We start from the raw sequence: 13,648 nt of genomic DNA, 5'->3' as shown, positions 1-13,648 counted from the left end.
GTTAATTGCCAACCCTGTTGAATTATTTTCTTTACTTCAATAAATGCTTATGAAAACCTACTATATGTCTAGCATGGCTCTTGTCTCTGTGGGGTTTAGAGGTGAATATGACACAGCTCCTGCCCTCAAGAAGTTTTCAGTCAGATCTGGGAGCAGGATCATAAAGATGATTTCAGCACTATACTATTCGTGCCGTGATAAAATTATCTTGTAGGTGGAGAGAGGAGGCACTTAACCCGGCCTGCACGTTCACGGAAGGCTGCCTGGGGGGAAATGATGCCTGATGCCTGAGCTGGCATTTCAGGAATGAGTAAGCAGTACTGAGGAGAGGGGGATGGGGACAAGGCAAGCAGGCAGACTCTTCGGAGGAGAACCAGGAAGGCATGGTTGAGTGTGGTGGACTTGGAGAACTTCATGTGACACAATATTATCTAAACACAAACTGTGAGGCGAGGGTAGGAGATGAGATGGGAGGATGAAGCAGGGGTCAGACCATGGAAAAGTTTCTACGTTTTGTTACCCAGCTTAGATTCCAGCCTACAGAGTTAAGGAAGAGAGGCATGGTTAACATCATGCATTAGTGGAAGGGTGGATTATTTTCTATTTTAATTAAAATAGAAAACATTATATAGCACCTATGACATGCCAGATGTCATTCTAAGTGCTAGGCAAATATTAGCTCATGTAACTCCTAACAGCCTACTCTGATTTACCATCTTACAGATAAAGAAATGGAAGCAAAAAGAGCTAAATCTGTCCGTGGCCATAGAGCTAAAGGTGTGAGTATATGGCTTTGAACCCAGGAAGTTTGGGTTGAAATTCAAATGTTGAACCACTACGCTATTTTACCATGGCTGGATGAGAGAGATCTGATCACTGTGATCACACTAGGATAATGTGATTGTACAATGGTAGGATGAGCTAAATAGAGATAGCATGGTTTGTCACGAGGGGCTGATTTAAGAAATGTGTATATGGTTAGATAAGGAAGACTAGAGGTCATTTGGATGAAGAAGGGTTCAGCAGAGAAAGGAGCCAGGATTGACTTGAAATTATTTGGTTCGGCTGACATTGGTGGTGTCATGAGTGAGATATGGAATATAAGAGAAGGAGCAGATTTGAGAGGGAAATAATAAGTTCTGTCCAGAATGTGTTCAGCAGAGGAAGTCAAATAACAGTAGGTTGAGAATTGACTTAGAGGCGAGAAGCTGGAAATGGCAAGCCTCCGTTATTACCACATTAATTCATGTACTTTTATCTAAGAGATACCTGAACTGCATGGCAGAAGCCTCCTAACAGACTCCCCTAATCACTGTCCCTCCCTACTCCAACAAATTCTGCACTCCACATTGAAGCAATCTCCTGAAAGTGACATTTTAATTATGTCCTTCTCTACTTCACACTTTCCCAAGGACTCCACTACTCACCCTTCACCTCCTCAGTCTGGCTTCAGGTCTCAGAAAATCAGTTTCCACCTACTTTTCTAGTCTTGTTCTTCCTGCAGTGCCCTATGCAACATCTTCTAGCTTTATGTTCCCAGTTATCGCTTGTCTTTTCACGGTTTTATATTTTTGTGTATGTTGCCTTCCACTCTCAATGCCTGACTAACAGAATCCTACCCTTATTTCAAGACTCATACAAGATACCTTTTCCTCCATAAACTTTCCTTAATTACTCCAGCCAGAAGGGGTCTTTCCTGTCTCTCAACCCCTACCGTTGTATACAGTTGACACCTCACCTGGCACAGGCTCATGCCCAGTGGCTACTGACCTAAGAGATTCATGTCTCATTTTAAGACTAAAGAACTCTGTACATATTTTATATTCTTTCTATTACAAATGCATATTAAATTAATTACATTAGTCAAGATCAAGGTGAAAAATCATGGTTTTGGGTGCACCAACTTAAAAATAGCTTACCTTGGGGCTTTACAGACAAGTAGCCATCTTTTTCCCATTCAACCTTTTTGGAAGGTGTTCCAGTTGACTTTGTTTATGTCTTTATTATCTCAGACATGATATGGAAAGAATGAGGGAGAGGGAGGAATCATTCCTTTTGAATATATTCTCTAAAGGTTTTACAACATTTTAAAAGCAGTATGCTAACGTGATGGCTACTTAGCTCACAAAGAAAGATATTAAAAGTAGCACTGTGATAACAAACACATGAAGGAGTGCAAAGAGACATTAACTTCCACCGAAGTTTTCAAGCTCAGATATTGGTGGCCATATCAGTCCCAAGTTTCATCCTTTCTGCAAAACATGGAACATATCTTGGTGGGACCAGTTTCTGCAAGCCAAGATGTACATTGGTTGTAACATTGTAGGCATGGTTGCTTTGCATGGTTATTTCAATTTGCAAACCTGCATGAATAGTCTCCCTCAGCTAGATCACGAACAGAAACTTATCTCCCTGTGGGTTCCCTGTAGAACCTAGAGAACAACTTAGAGGAGTTGCTTTATAGATGTTTACTGAATGGGTCACAGTCATCCCCAAAATCCCAGGCATATTTCTCAGGATCAGAATCTTCTGTGAGAAAAAAAATGGTATATACCAAGTGAAACAATCCTCTTTTTAGTTATATATTTTAAAGAAATTGTTAGGCAGGAGAAGCCTGAATGAACTTCATGTTTTAAAAATTAATGTATTATTCATTTTTATCCTGGGCTACTCCTGGGGAAGGTGTGTGTGTGTGTGTGTGTGTGTGTGTGTGTGTGTGTGTGAGACAGAGAGGGAGAGAGAGAAAGATTCAGTTCAAGTTTTCTACACAGCAAGCATGCCTTGTCTTAGTGGCACTAAAGAAATTTCCTTTTCTGCATCTGTATTTAAATGAGGCACTAACTAAAATCAGGTTTCATTAGCCTAAGCCTCAGCTCACACTTAATGAAAGAGCCGGTGTAAATTATTTACTGAATGTCATACTTCAGGTTTTAAATTCAATATATTGTGATACATACACTACATAATTTAAGAGGCAGACAAATTACAATATGCCACCTGCCCCTGTGTCTCCATTCGGTCATTTCTGATGCCTGGGTTAAAATCTCCCTCACATCAATATTTCAGCAGAGACCCTCTAGTTCTCCCCTTTAAAATAAGCCACTATCCAAAAACCTACAAAGGGAAGTAATCCATTTAACTCAGGACAAATCTCATATGCTGAATGATTTAACAGCCCAATTCTGAGCTTCAATAAGTCACTGAAACATGTTGTGAGCAGACGTATCAAATGTGAGAACAGCGAGTCTCCCCAGCCAGCTTGACTCTCTTTCTTTTGCTGTCTTTGGGTCACTGCTCCTGGTGTGTTAAATTTTTTTGTTTGCATCTGTTCCCCTCTCATGGGCCAGAATCCATTCCGCCTGTCCTGCCTGCTCCTTTGCTCTTTCTCTTTCCTCTGTTTTCTTTCCCATTAGTAATTATTTATTAGTCTCTGAGGTGCAGCCCAGGATTTTCATGGTATTTCTCTCACTTCCTCCAGCCCATTTGGTCACTGCTGAGTGTTCAGATGGGAGAGTAGGTTTTGACATGCCCCGTTATGTGGAACTGGAGCAGTATGCTGGAAAAGCTATACAATTACCGGTTCCCTGGCATCGTTTCCTCTCAGCTTTTTGGCCATGAGGGACCGGCTGAAGAGGAAGTGTGGTCCCATGCTCAGAACACATAGTGGTGCAGAAGGTTGGGCCCTGGCTCTGTCTCCTGGCTCTTCCACCAACTCCTTGTGTAAAAGCAATGTGCCCTTAGGCAGTTTCTTTTTGTTGTTCTCATTCTCTCTCTCTCTCTCTCTCTCTCTGTCCTTTTCTGCCTCTCTCTGAAGTCAAGGTTTTGATTGCTGACACCCTCTCACCTGGCATAAATGAATGTGAGACAGAAAACAGTTCATTAAGCCTGCAAAGAATTAAAACGGATGTTTCTAAGGTGCTTTGACATCCTGAGAGAAATAGAGTACCCTTCTATTATTCCTTGGAGAAGCTGAGTTTCTCATATGAGCATGGTCAGAGAGAGCTGGGATCAATGGAAAGAATTTGTATTTACTCTTCCCTTACCCATCCGTAATCACCCTACCTATTTTTAGAGGAGTGTTTCTAGAATTTAAATTGGCACACACATTACCAGGGGATCTTGCTAAAATGCTGCTTTTGAGTCAGTAGGTCTGGGTGGGTGCTACATTCTAACAAGCCGCCATGCCATGCCTATGCTTCTAGTATTGGGACCACACCTACTGTGGCCAGGTGTTAGAGAACTCTCCGCACCCCCATCTGTTACCTTCTCCACACTGTCTACTGTCCTCTCTGGCCGGTCCTCCTCTTCTCTCCCTTCTCTATCTAAACTCGCCAATCTTATGTCCCATTGCCTGAGATTCTCTGTGCTATGTCACCATGATGAAGAGCAGTTTCATGGCTCCAGAACTACTTTTTCACCCTTGGGCAAAAAAGCTCATTCCTCTTCGAAGTTAAAGCCTATGGCACCACCTCTCTGCCTTTGTCACTGGCATTGTGATTTTGTCCATCTGAGTCATTCGGTGGAGGCTGGCACTTGAATCATAACCATCATCCCCCATCCACCTCTTGTGATCAGTCCACAGCAACTCTACAGCCTGCCTCTTCAACACCTGCCCTCACAATTTTTTATTTTTTAAAATAAAAATGAACTTTACCTTCATTCCACTGCAGTTACCACTTCAAGAGCCACACCCCAGACTTGGCCACCAGCCAGAACTGCTGTGTATCAGAGAACTTCAACACTGATATCCTACTCCGTGACCTCCTGTCCTTTCAAGTCTCTTCCTCCCTCCCTATGGCGTGCTTGTTCTTTCAATGCCGTCATCCTTGATGTCACCACTGTCTCTTGACCTCTTGCCTTTGTGTCTTCTCTGGGTCTTCTATATGGCCATCTCAACTCTTTTCTTAGAAGCACACTCAATTTTCTTGAGTTAGTTTCTTTCTTTCTTTTCCTCTCTCTCTCTCTTTCTTTCTTTCTCTTTCTTTCTTTCTTTCTTTTTTATTCTCACTGCATCTGGAGCAACCCCGTCACCTGCCCTTATTTTTCCTACACCTGGGAAACTGAACATGGCTAGAGAAAAATTACCCAGTTGTGCCACCACGAATGTGTTGTCTTAACCTCCGCTGGGCCCGTGTACAACTCTACGACGTATTCATTCATAGATGCTCAGATCCTTGAGCTACTCTTCTGAACTTTCACCCTCTCCTCAAACCTCCAAATCAGTCCATGCTACGCCCCTCATCTCAGTAAATAACCATGCTTCTAAGTACACAAAAATTAGAGGCTTCCTAGGTGAACCTTCTGTCTTCTGCTATCTATAACCTTGTCTTCATCTACACCCGTCTTTACTCGCCTCTTTCTCTACCTTCTCAGATGATGAGGTGCCCTTCCTTTTGCTAAGACCAGACCTAATCACCTGCTCCTGATCACCTCTCATCTCATCCCATTTCTTCCAGGCTCAGTTCAACTAGTTCCAACAGCTTCTTCATCTCTAGCCTCCGTTTTCCTCTGACCCCCTTTTCCCACACCTGCAACATGCTATATGTAATTCTTCTCCTCCGTAATTCTCCAGCCTCATCTCCCACAATCAACCTGCCTCACACATTCACGTGGTTTCTGTGCTGTTCACACATGATGCTGTTTCATGCCTTGATAATTTTGCTGAGGCCGTCTCTAAATGAAACATTCTGTCTTTGCTGTACAGTCTGGCAAATGTCTATTCATCTTACGAAAGTCAAATTTGATGCCTCCCCCAAGCAGGCTTCCGTGTCTCCCACAGTTCTAGTCTGCTTGCTTCCAGGTTACCATCCATGTCTTAAGGTTACCATAGTACGCTTAATTTATTTCCTATATTTTATCGTATTATATATCTATGTGTCTGTCTCCCTTGTGGACTAGGTGCTTTTTGAAGGCAAAGACTATTGGCTTATTTGTTTTTCCCTCTGAAATGACTGGAACTGGCTGGGCATGGTGGCTGACGCCTGTAATCCCAGCACTTTGGGAAGCAGAGACAGGTGGATCATTTGACGTCAGGAGTTCGAGACCAGCCTGGCCAACATGGTGAAACCTCCGTCTCTATTAAGAATACAAAAATTAGCTGAGTGGTAGTGGTTTATGCCTGTAATCCCAGCTACTCAGGAGGCTGAGGCAGGAGAATTGTTTGAGCCTGGGAGGTGGAGGTTGTGGTGAGCCAAGATCGTGCCACTGCACTCCAGTATAGGTGACAGAGTGAGACCCTGTCTCCAAAAAAAAAAAAAAAAAAGATTGGAACAGTGGCTGGAATAATGTGGTTGAGAAATAAATATTGGTGAAATGAATGAATTAATAAATAGAAATCACTCTTAAATATATTATCTTACATGCCACCTTAGTTCCAAATGGCTTTATTTCACAGACCTCTTTTGGGGTCTATTTGTATTTTATCACAGGGCCAACTTTTGAAGCATACTTTAATAACAATAATAACAACATAGGTAATACAATTTTTGACATAACACTATCTGTTTACTGAGTTTATCTAAGGCACCGTGCTAAATGATTCACGTACATGATGCCATTGAATCCTTACGACAGCACTGTGAAGGCAATCTTATTATCATAATTTTAGAGGCGAGGAGCCGAGGATCAGAAAGGTTAAGTACACACCACAGGTCACATACCCAGGAGGTTACAGAGCTCATTTTGAACCTTCGCCAGGCTGGCTGAAAGATGCATGCCCAGTGCACCACATTTGACTTCCCTTTTGGCCCCTGCCTGCTCTTTCCTAGTCCCTGGCCTCTCTCCTTCCTGGTCACATGCAGAGCTTTTCCTGGGCTTCTTCAACATAAGCACCCTCTTCCCCGGCCAGTCTCAGAGCACTGTTAAAAGGGTGGCATTTGGTTCTATATTTGTCCATTGAGTCTACGACACATAATAGTTATTTCAAAGAAGCCTAAGGGTTGAGAGAATTCATTTCTTAATAATCGTTAAGTAATGAAGTGCTACTTAGCACTGTTTGCCTTAGATAAAGAGGACTCTACAGAAGTGAGGCATTCTGTGGTTTTCAGTAGAATGAAGGTTGAGATAGTTGGAACTGTTAAGTTCTAGCTGGCCCTTTCTTTTCTTCGTTTGTCACTAGCGACATTGTGTAGAATAAATTCTGCATGTTCACCTTCAACAAGGAACGAATGAAAATCCAGAACCAAGGCTGATTAGAAAGCCAAGGGGATTTGAGGCCTAGCATGTGTGACCCTGAGGCAAGGAGAATTAGTAGCTCCTTTACCTGGCGACCAGGGGAGGATGCATTTTATCCATACATTCACAGAGGGTGCTCTCTACATAGACTGCTTTGAGACTCTGGATTTAGTAGAAAATCAGGTGAAAAAGATTTGATCAAGGGTTTACCTGACGATTCTCATTTTTCTTATTGTCAGTTAATTGGATATTTGTTTAATGCACAGAATTATAATAAAGTTTTTACTGAAGGCTATATAATTTCATGCTAAATGATTATCAGGGCCTTTTTTAGGACCATCACAATCTCCCAACTCTGTCCAGCTTTCCCAGGTCTATGATGTTAACGTATTGCTGTGCCTGCTATAATGTTAATGACATAATAGCTTTAGATGATCATCCTTAAATCTGAATTTTATTTCCCACTCAACCCACATTTGAAGCCTGCATTCACTTGTCACAAATATCTCACCCAATTAAATTCAAAAAATATATGCATAACTAACAGTCTAAACATGCATATGCATGTGTTTCTTAAAATAATAAAATCTGAACAGAAAAGAAGTTTAGATCATCTTGAATTGTTTAGACATATATTGGGGGTCTATATTATTAGTATATCTTCTGTATACAATTCTGTAAATGTAATCTTATATGTTATTGTTAGTAGTGTTTTTTTTAAGTCTCTAATACATGATAGAATCATATCGTGGAATTTTTATGTCCTCTCACAGGGTTATTTTATCATTAAAAAATATCCTTTGGTTTGTTAAATGCCAAGTACTCAAGGATGCAATTGAGACCATTTCAATTTATCATTCACTTTTTTTTTTTTTTTTTTTTTGAGACAGAGTTTCTCTCTTATTGCCCAGGCTGGAGTGCAGTGGTGCGATCTCGGCTCACTGCAACCTCTGCCTGCCAGGTTCAAGCGATTCTCCTGCCTCAGCCTCCCAAGTAGCTGGGATTACAGGCTCCCACAACCATGCCTGGCTAACTTTTTGTATTTTTAGTAGAGACAGGGTTTTACCGTGTTGGCCAGGTTGGTGTCAAACTCCTGACCTCAGGTGATTCACCCGCCTTGGCCTCCCAAAGTGCTGGGACTACAGGCATGAGCTACTGTGCCCGGCCTATAATTCACTTTTAAAACTTTTGACTTTAGCCTTATTTCCTGTAATAAATGCATATAAAACAACAATTTCTTTATTGGCTCATTTCAGAGAATAAGCACCTTCTCAAGAATACATATAAAACAAGCTTCCCAGACCAAGGTAAACAGAGATCTCCTAAACCTCTGCAGGCAAAGGAAAAGACTGATGCTCTTTGGGTCCCTTCTAGAAATGGGGTTGTAGGATTCCATGGAGGCAATGGCTGTAAGGAACAAGGTACGAGTCAAAAGCCACTCTTTTAGATCACAGAATCCCCAGGAGCTTGTCTCCCAGATAACACTCTGATAACTGTTAGTGTTTGAATTAAAAGGAGAATGCCTTGCTCTTTACCCTCAGCACTAAGCTCTGTTTCTCAGTGTAAACAGGCCCTATCTGCCAGGGTTCTTTTTCCATCTGAGATCAAAATATTTCAACTGTGACATCACCACTGGTTGTTGAGGAAATAATGAGGTTATCACAAATAAAGGCTGTCTCTTTGGAATAAAATGATGGAGCAAATGAAAGCACAGGAATAAAATGCTTGTTTCCTTCAAAAATTCTTAGCCTTCCATGCGGAGGGCAATAAAGATGACCTAGGGAGAAGGAGGCTTTGGTTCAAGTTCTCTGGGAGAGGTTAGAAAAGTAGCAAATTAACCTGTCTGATACCTTATCAGTCAGTTTTGAGTAATCAACTAAGTTAACATTCTTGCCTTTCACAAATCATTAAATCATACACCATGGACCCGGAAATCTCCTAGTTCCTCCACCATGAGGTATGGCTGGAATGTGAGGAAACGTCAAATTAGGAGCACTTTTCCCAACAAAGGAGAGTTAGTGATTCCCTTGGAACTTTAACTCTTTTTAATCTGAGTAAAGTCCTTCCCAGTTAGATCAGGAAGGTAAATTGTTCCTGATTTATGACATTGTTTGATGGGATAAATTGGAACCTAATGGAATTCCACTAAGTTCTCAAAGGAACAGTGATGCATACAATAACCCACAACATCATGCACACAAATACACAACACAGGGCATACAAATGTATTAAGCTTGGGTTCATTCTTCATGGTTTCAGTTAAAGAGTAGCAGGAGGGACTGGCTTGTAGATAATCTTTTTTCTACCTTTCCTTTCTTCTCTTATCAATCTCTTGTCTTCTGGGGTTTGAATTAATGCTATAAACGTTAACTCTGGCCTTAACTTCTCCACACCTCAGGGAAATACAACACAAAGAATGGAGATAACAAAACCAATTAGAAATAGCAGAAACAACAGCAGCAAATTAAGAAACACCACAGTGCCCAGGAAAACTTGTCAAGAAGACTTTTCTATCCTTCCGCAATTGGTTCAGCTTGGGGCTCATATAAAATAGAGATTCTGTAAATTCTTGCTGAATATTTAAGTATTTACTTATTCATTGAGTCACTGAGGATAAATCATCTGCTTATTTTAAAATGTGTAGTCCAAGGCAGATGGATCATCTGAGGTCAGGAGTTTGAGACCAGCCTGGCCAACATAGTGAAACCCCGTCTCTACTAAAATTACAAAAATTAGCTGGGTGTGTGGCACATGCCTGTAATCCTAGCTACATGGGAGGCTGAGGCATGAGAATCACTTGAACCCAGGAGGCGGAGGTTGCAGTGAGCTGAGACCCAGTCACTGCACTCCAGCCTGGGTGACAGAGTGAGACTCTGACTCATAAATAAATAAATAAAATGTGTAGGTATCGGAATTACCTGCAAAACCTCGAAGACCTGTACACTCTCATGCCAGCAGACAGAGCTGTAGCATATGCACTCAGGCTTGCATTCTTGTCCCAGACGCCAGCAGGGCCTAGGACAGCTCTCCCAAGAGATTTCTGAATCCCTGCCATGCTTTGGCTAGGTGAGATTTGATGCAATTTGACACCAAGGGCAACTCTGAAAGGAAGACATATAAAAAAAGTGAAACCCAAGATCGTGTACTTTTCACAAATAGAAACTATGTCTTATTTATCTTTTTGTCTCTTTAAGGTGACTGCCAAGTGTCTGGCACAAAACCTCCCTTAGTGTCTGGTTGGTGGGCTGGGCTTCTCCTCTGTCTTCTGCTGGGCAGAGGGCACATGAGCTGGTTGTATGAACAGCACTAGCTGCTTGAAATAACACCGCTTGCCATGCCAGCATCCAGCCTGCAGGGCTACCTACACCAGTTCTGACCAAGACAGAGACCATTAGAAGTCTCCTCACCAGCAAGAGGGAAGATGAATGGGTTGTCTCCCATATGCATATCCAGTCCGTACAAAAGCCTTTACACTCTTATTTTTGCCAGTCTTCTCCCCAAAAAGCTGTACTTTGGGGAGATTCTGGGGTTTCATTTTAAACCAGAAAGACCACAAGGCTGGCACTTTTCTGTCTAAACTTCCCTCTTCCAAACCTCACTTAGCATATCCAAGAGGTTACAATCTTGAATTCTGCCTGAGTTCCCCAGGACCATTCAGACATTGTTCCAGTTATCTATGGCTTTGTGTGCCAAATCACCTCAGAACACAGTGGCTTAAAACAACAATCATTTCATTGCTCATGATCCTCTGGGTCAGGAATTTGGGCAGGGCTGAGTGGAACAGCTTGTCTCTACTTCACATGGGATTGGCTGGACTAATGCAGCTGCACTCAGCTGTCGGCTGAGCTGGGCTGGGCTGGGCTGGGCTGGGCTGAGCTGGAGGATCTAATATGGCCCTGGTGCTGGCTGGCTGCTGGAGTACCTTGGTTCTCCTTGTGGCCTCTCCTTGAGAGATCTCCATGTGGTCTCTTATGCTCCGGGGCCTTCCTCTCCACCTAGCCTCTCTCTCCAGCTGAATAGCCTGGGCTTTTTCATGTGGTGTCTCAGAATAGTAAGAGTTAAAGTAGAAGCTACCAGATCTCTTAAGGCCTGAGTGTGGAAATCCCAGAACATCCCTTCTGCATCATTCAAAAGCTGGCTTAGTGTAAGGCTCAAGATCAACCCAGATTCAAGAGGTACGGAAATAGACTCCCCCTGTTGATGGGAGAAGCGGCACGAATATGCAGACTTAAGAGAAGTTGTGGCCTGTTATCTCTGTAGATAATCTACCACAGACCCTGTAGTTCGGACCACTGATAGCTGCTGTTCTCTGCAGCCATGCTGATATGCAATGTAACCTTTGAATTCTTGCTTTTCTCAATCTCAGTTTCTCTCCTCACCAGACGAACTACGTGATATGGCTTAGCTAACCCTTGCTCACTCAAGACGTGGCCTGGGACATTCCCTGGTATACACACTCATGACACCAGTCACCATTCATGTGATGGAAGGGGAGCTTAAAGCTTATGCCTTTCAAAGACATCCAGGCCACTTCCTAAGAGAACTGTGCTGGGGAGTAATTTCTACTCCCTCTCCTTATCTCCAGCCTGATCTTCAGTCTAGGTCAAACATTCTTATGGACATGGCTCATTGGGTCTTACCCAAACTTACTCTCCCAACTCAGAGTTTAAGTGCCCTTAAACACTGAGCTGTATGTCCCTGCCCTGTTCCAAGATCTATGGTGTCAGCCTGCACTACCTGTCCTTTCCCTAACATCTATCTCTTGGTTAAAATGCCAGCATTGCATGTTGCATGGGATGGAGAATGGGAAATGGCAACTGATTAGAATGCATGGGTTCAGCCCCACCTTGACACTGATCCTTTGTCCCCGTCCCCCTCCCCATAACCTTAGGCCATATTCCAAGAGATGATCTTTGTTCTCTATTGAGAAGGGCTGTAATTGACACACCTCCTAGGATGCTTTTCTATATCTCCAAATGGGTAAAAGGTCACATCACATATTTTATATGCACCTTCAGGCTTTGGTGGAACATTGTGATTGGATGAGGATTACAGGAAAATAAAAATCAGCATGGCATCAAGGAAAACACAACTAAATATTGTCTGAAAATAAAATGCCTAATCTGCATTTGGAAACAAACCTACACTGCGTATCAATTTCACACGCTTAATCTATACTATTTCACATGGCACTGTGGTTCTTAAGCGTCATGGACCATGTTTGTTAGAAATATAAGGAAAGGGGGATAAACTATTTTCCCAGAAAAATGCACAAGTGGATAACATTTCGCATTCATTTCAGGACATTTCCTATCCCCTGAGTTTCATCCGTGAATTTCTTATAAAGAATTTTAGATGAAATGGGAGGTGGCCTTTTGGAAAATCTCATTTAAATGGAGATCAATTTAGAGTAATTTTATCGAGAATTATATGGTCAGGACACGTGCATCCTCCTTAAGCATTCCATTTTAATTATTGTCTCATGTGGATCTTATTACGTAGGTGACCTTCTGCCCTTTGGTCATCTCCACCTTTCTTTCGAAAGATCTGATGGAAGTACTCTTAATAACCACGTAAGCTTTCAAGGCAGTGCCCCTTCCTTGGAGAAGGAAAAAGCTTTCTTAATCTATGCCTCACATGAAGTACAGTGCTGAGTTTTGTAAGAGGAGGATCGTACCCTGAAGGGTTTTGGTGACAATCCAATTTTCACATGAGCATCATAAACTGAAATTACCAGTTGCTATATATCCTGTCTATTCTCCTATTCTTCAAAGAGATACACAGTCCTCTAAGGAGACAGAAATAAATGCGCAAAAGGTCATGTGTAGTTTGGGCATTTCTGGGGCCAGGTACTAAGTCCATTTTGATGGGCAACGTCAGTGGATGCCTTGCTCTTAATGATTTACCATTTCTAAGGAGATCTAAGTAGAGTCATGAAATGTAACCTGACAGAATCTGAAAGTAATTAAGATTTCTTAAGATGTAGCCCAGCACCACATTTTGTGTATACAATTCAAGTACAATGCCCAGTTCAATACATATCCAATTGTTAAGGCAGCCTTCACATACCACGTTTTACTAATTTGTCTCATTTCTAAGTTATCGTGGGTTTGATCCTGACTATGAAGAGGAAAATAAGATAATGTAATAACACCCTGGGCAGGTAGAATGTCTTTTATCAGTGATCTCAAAACATCTCACAAGCATTAATTACTTCTGAAAACATGCTGCGAGGGAGATGGGGCTATGACCATCGTGCTGATGAGGAAGCAGATACTGGTTGGGCATTGGTAACTTATGATAAACCACAGGATCTTGACAAGGTCCGGATGAGAAAGGAGGAAAAATGGCCAACCCCGAGACACAGCCTTCAAGCTACTTCCTTGCCCAGGTTGGTTCATCAGCTGCCAGTCCACTCTGTTCTGGCTGCACCCATCCTCACCACTTCCTTTTTCCTTCTTATCTGATCATCTCT

The 13,648-nt window shown here is 42.2% G+C and overlaps 2 annotated features.

The window, feature by feature from the left end:
- Positions 12,872–13,166: an enhancer, noted in NCBI's record as "tiled region #10991; HepG2 Activating DNase matched - State 8:EnhW". NCBI's record gives its function as "activates a minimal TATA promoter and a strong SV40 promoter by Sharpr-MPRA in HepG2 cells {active_cell/tissue: HepG2}" and the evidence as "EXISTENCE:reporter gene assay evidence [ECO:0000049][PMID:27701403]".
- Positions 12,872–13,166: a silencer, noted in NCBI's record as "tiled region #10991; K562 Repressive non-DNase unmatched - State 24:Quies". NCBI's record gives its function as "represses a minimal TATA promoter and a strong SV40 promoter by Sharpr-MPRA in K562 cells {active_cell/tissue: K562}" and the evidence as "EXISTENCE:reporter gene assay evidence [ECO:0000049][PMID:27701403]".

Source organism: Homo sapiens, chromosome 20 (genome assembly GCF_000001405.40).
Source record: "Homo sapiens chromosome 20, GRCh38.p14 Primary Assembly".
Lineage (NCBI taxonomy): Eukaryota > Metazoa > Chordata > Mammalia > Primates > Hominidae > Homo > Homo sapiens.
Note: the sequence above shows the minus strand (reverse complement) of the source record. Positions and strands in the feature narration are given on the sequence as shown.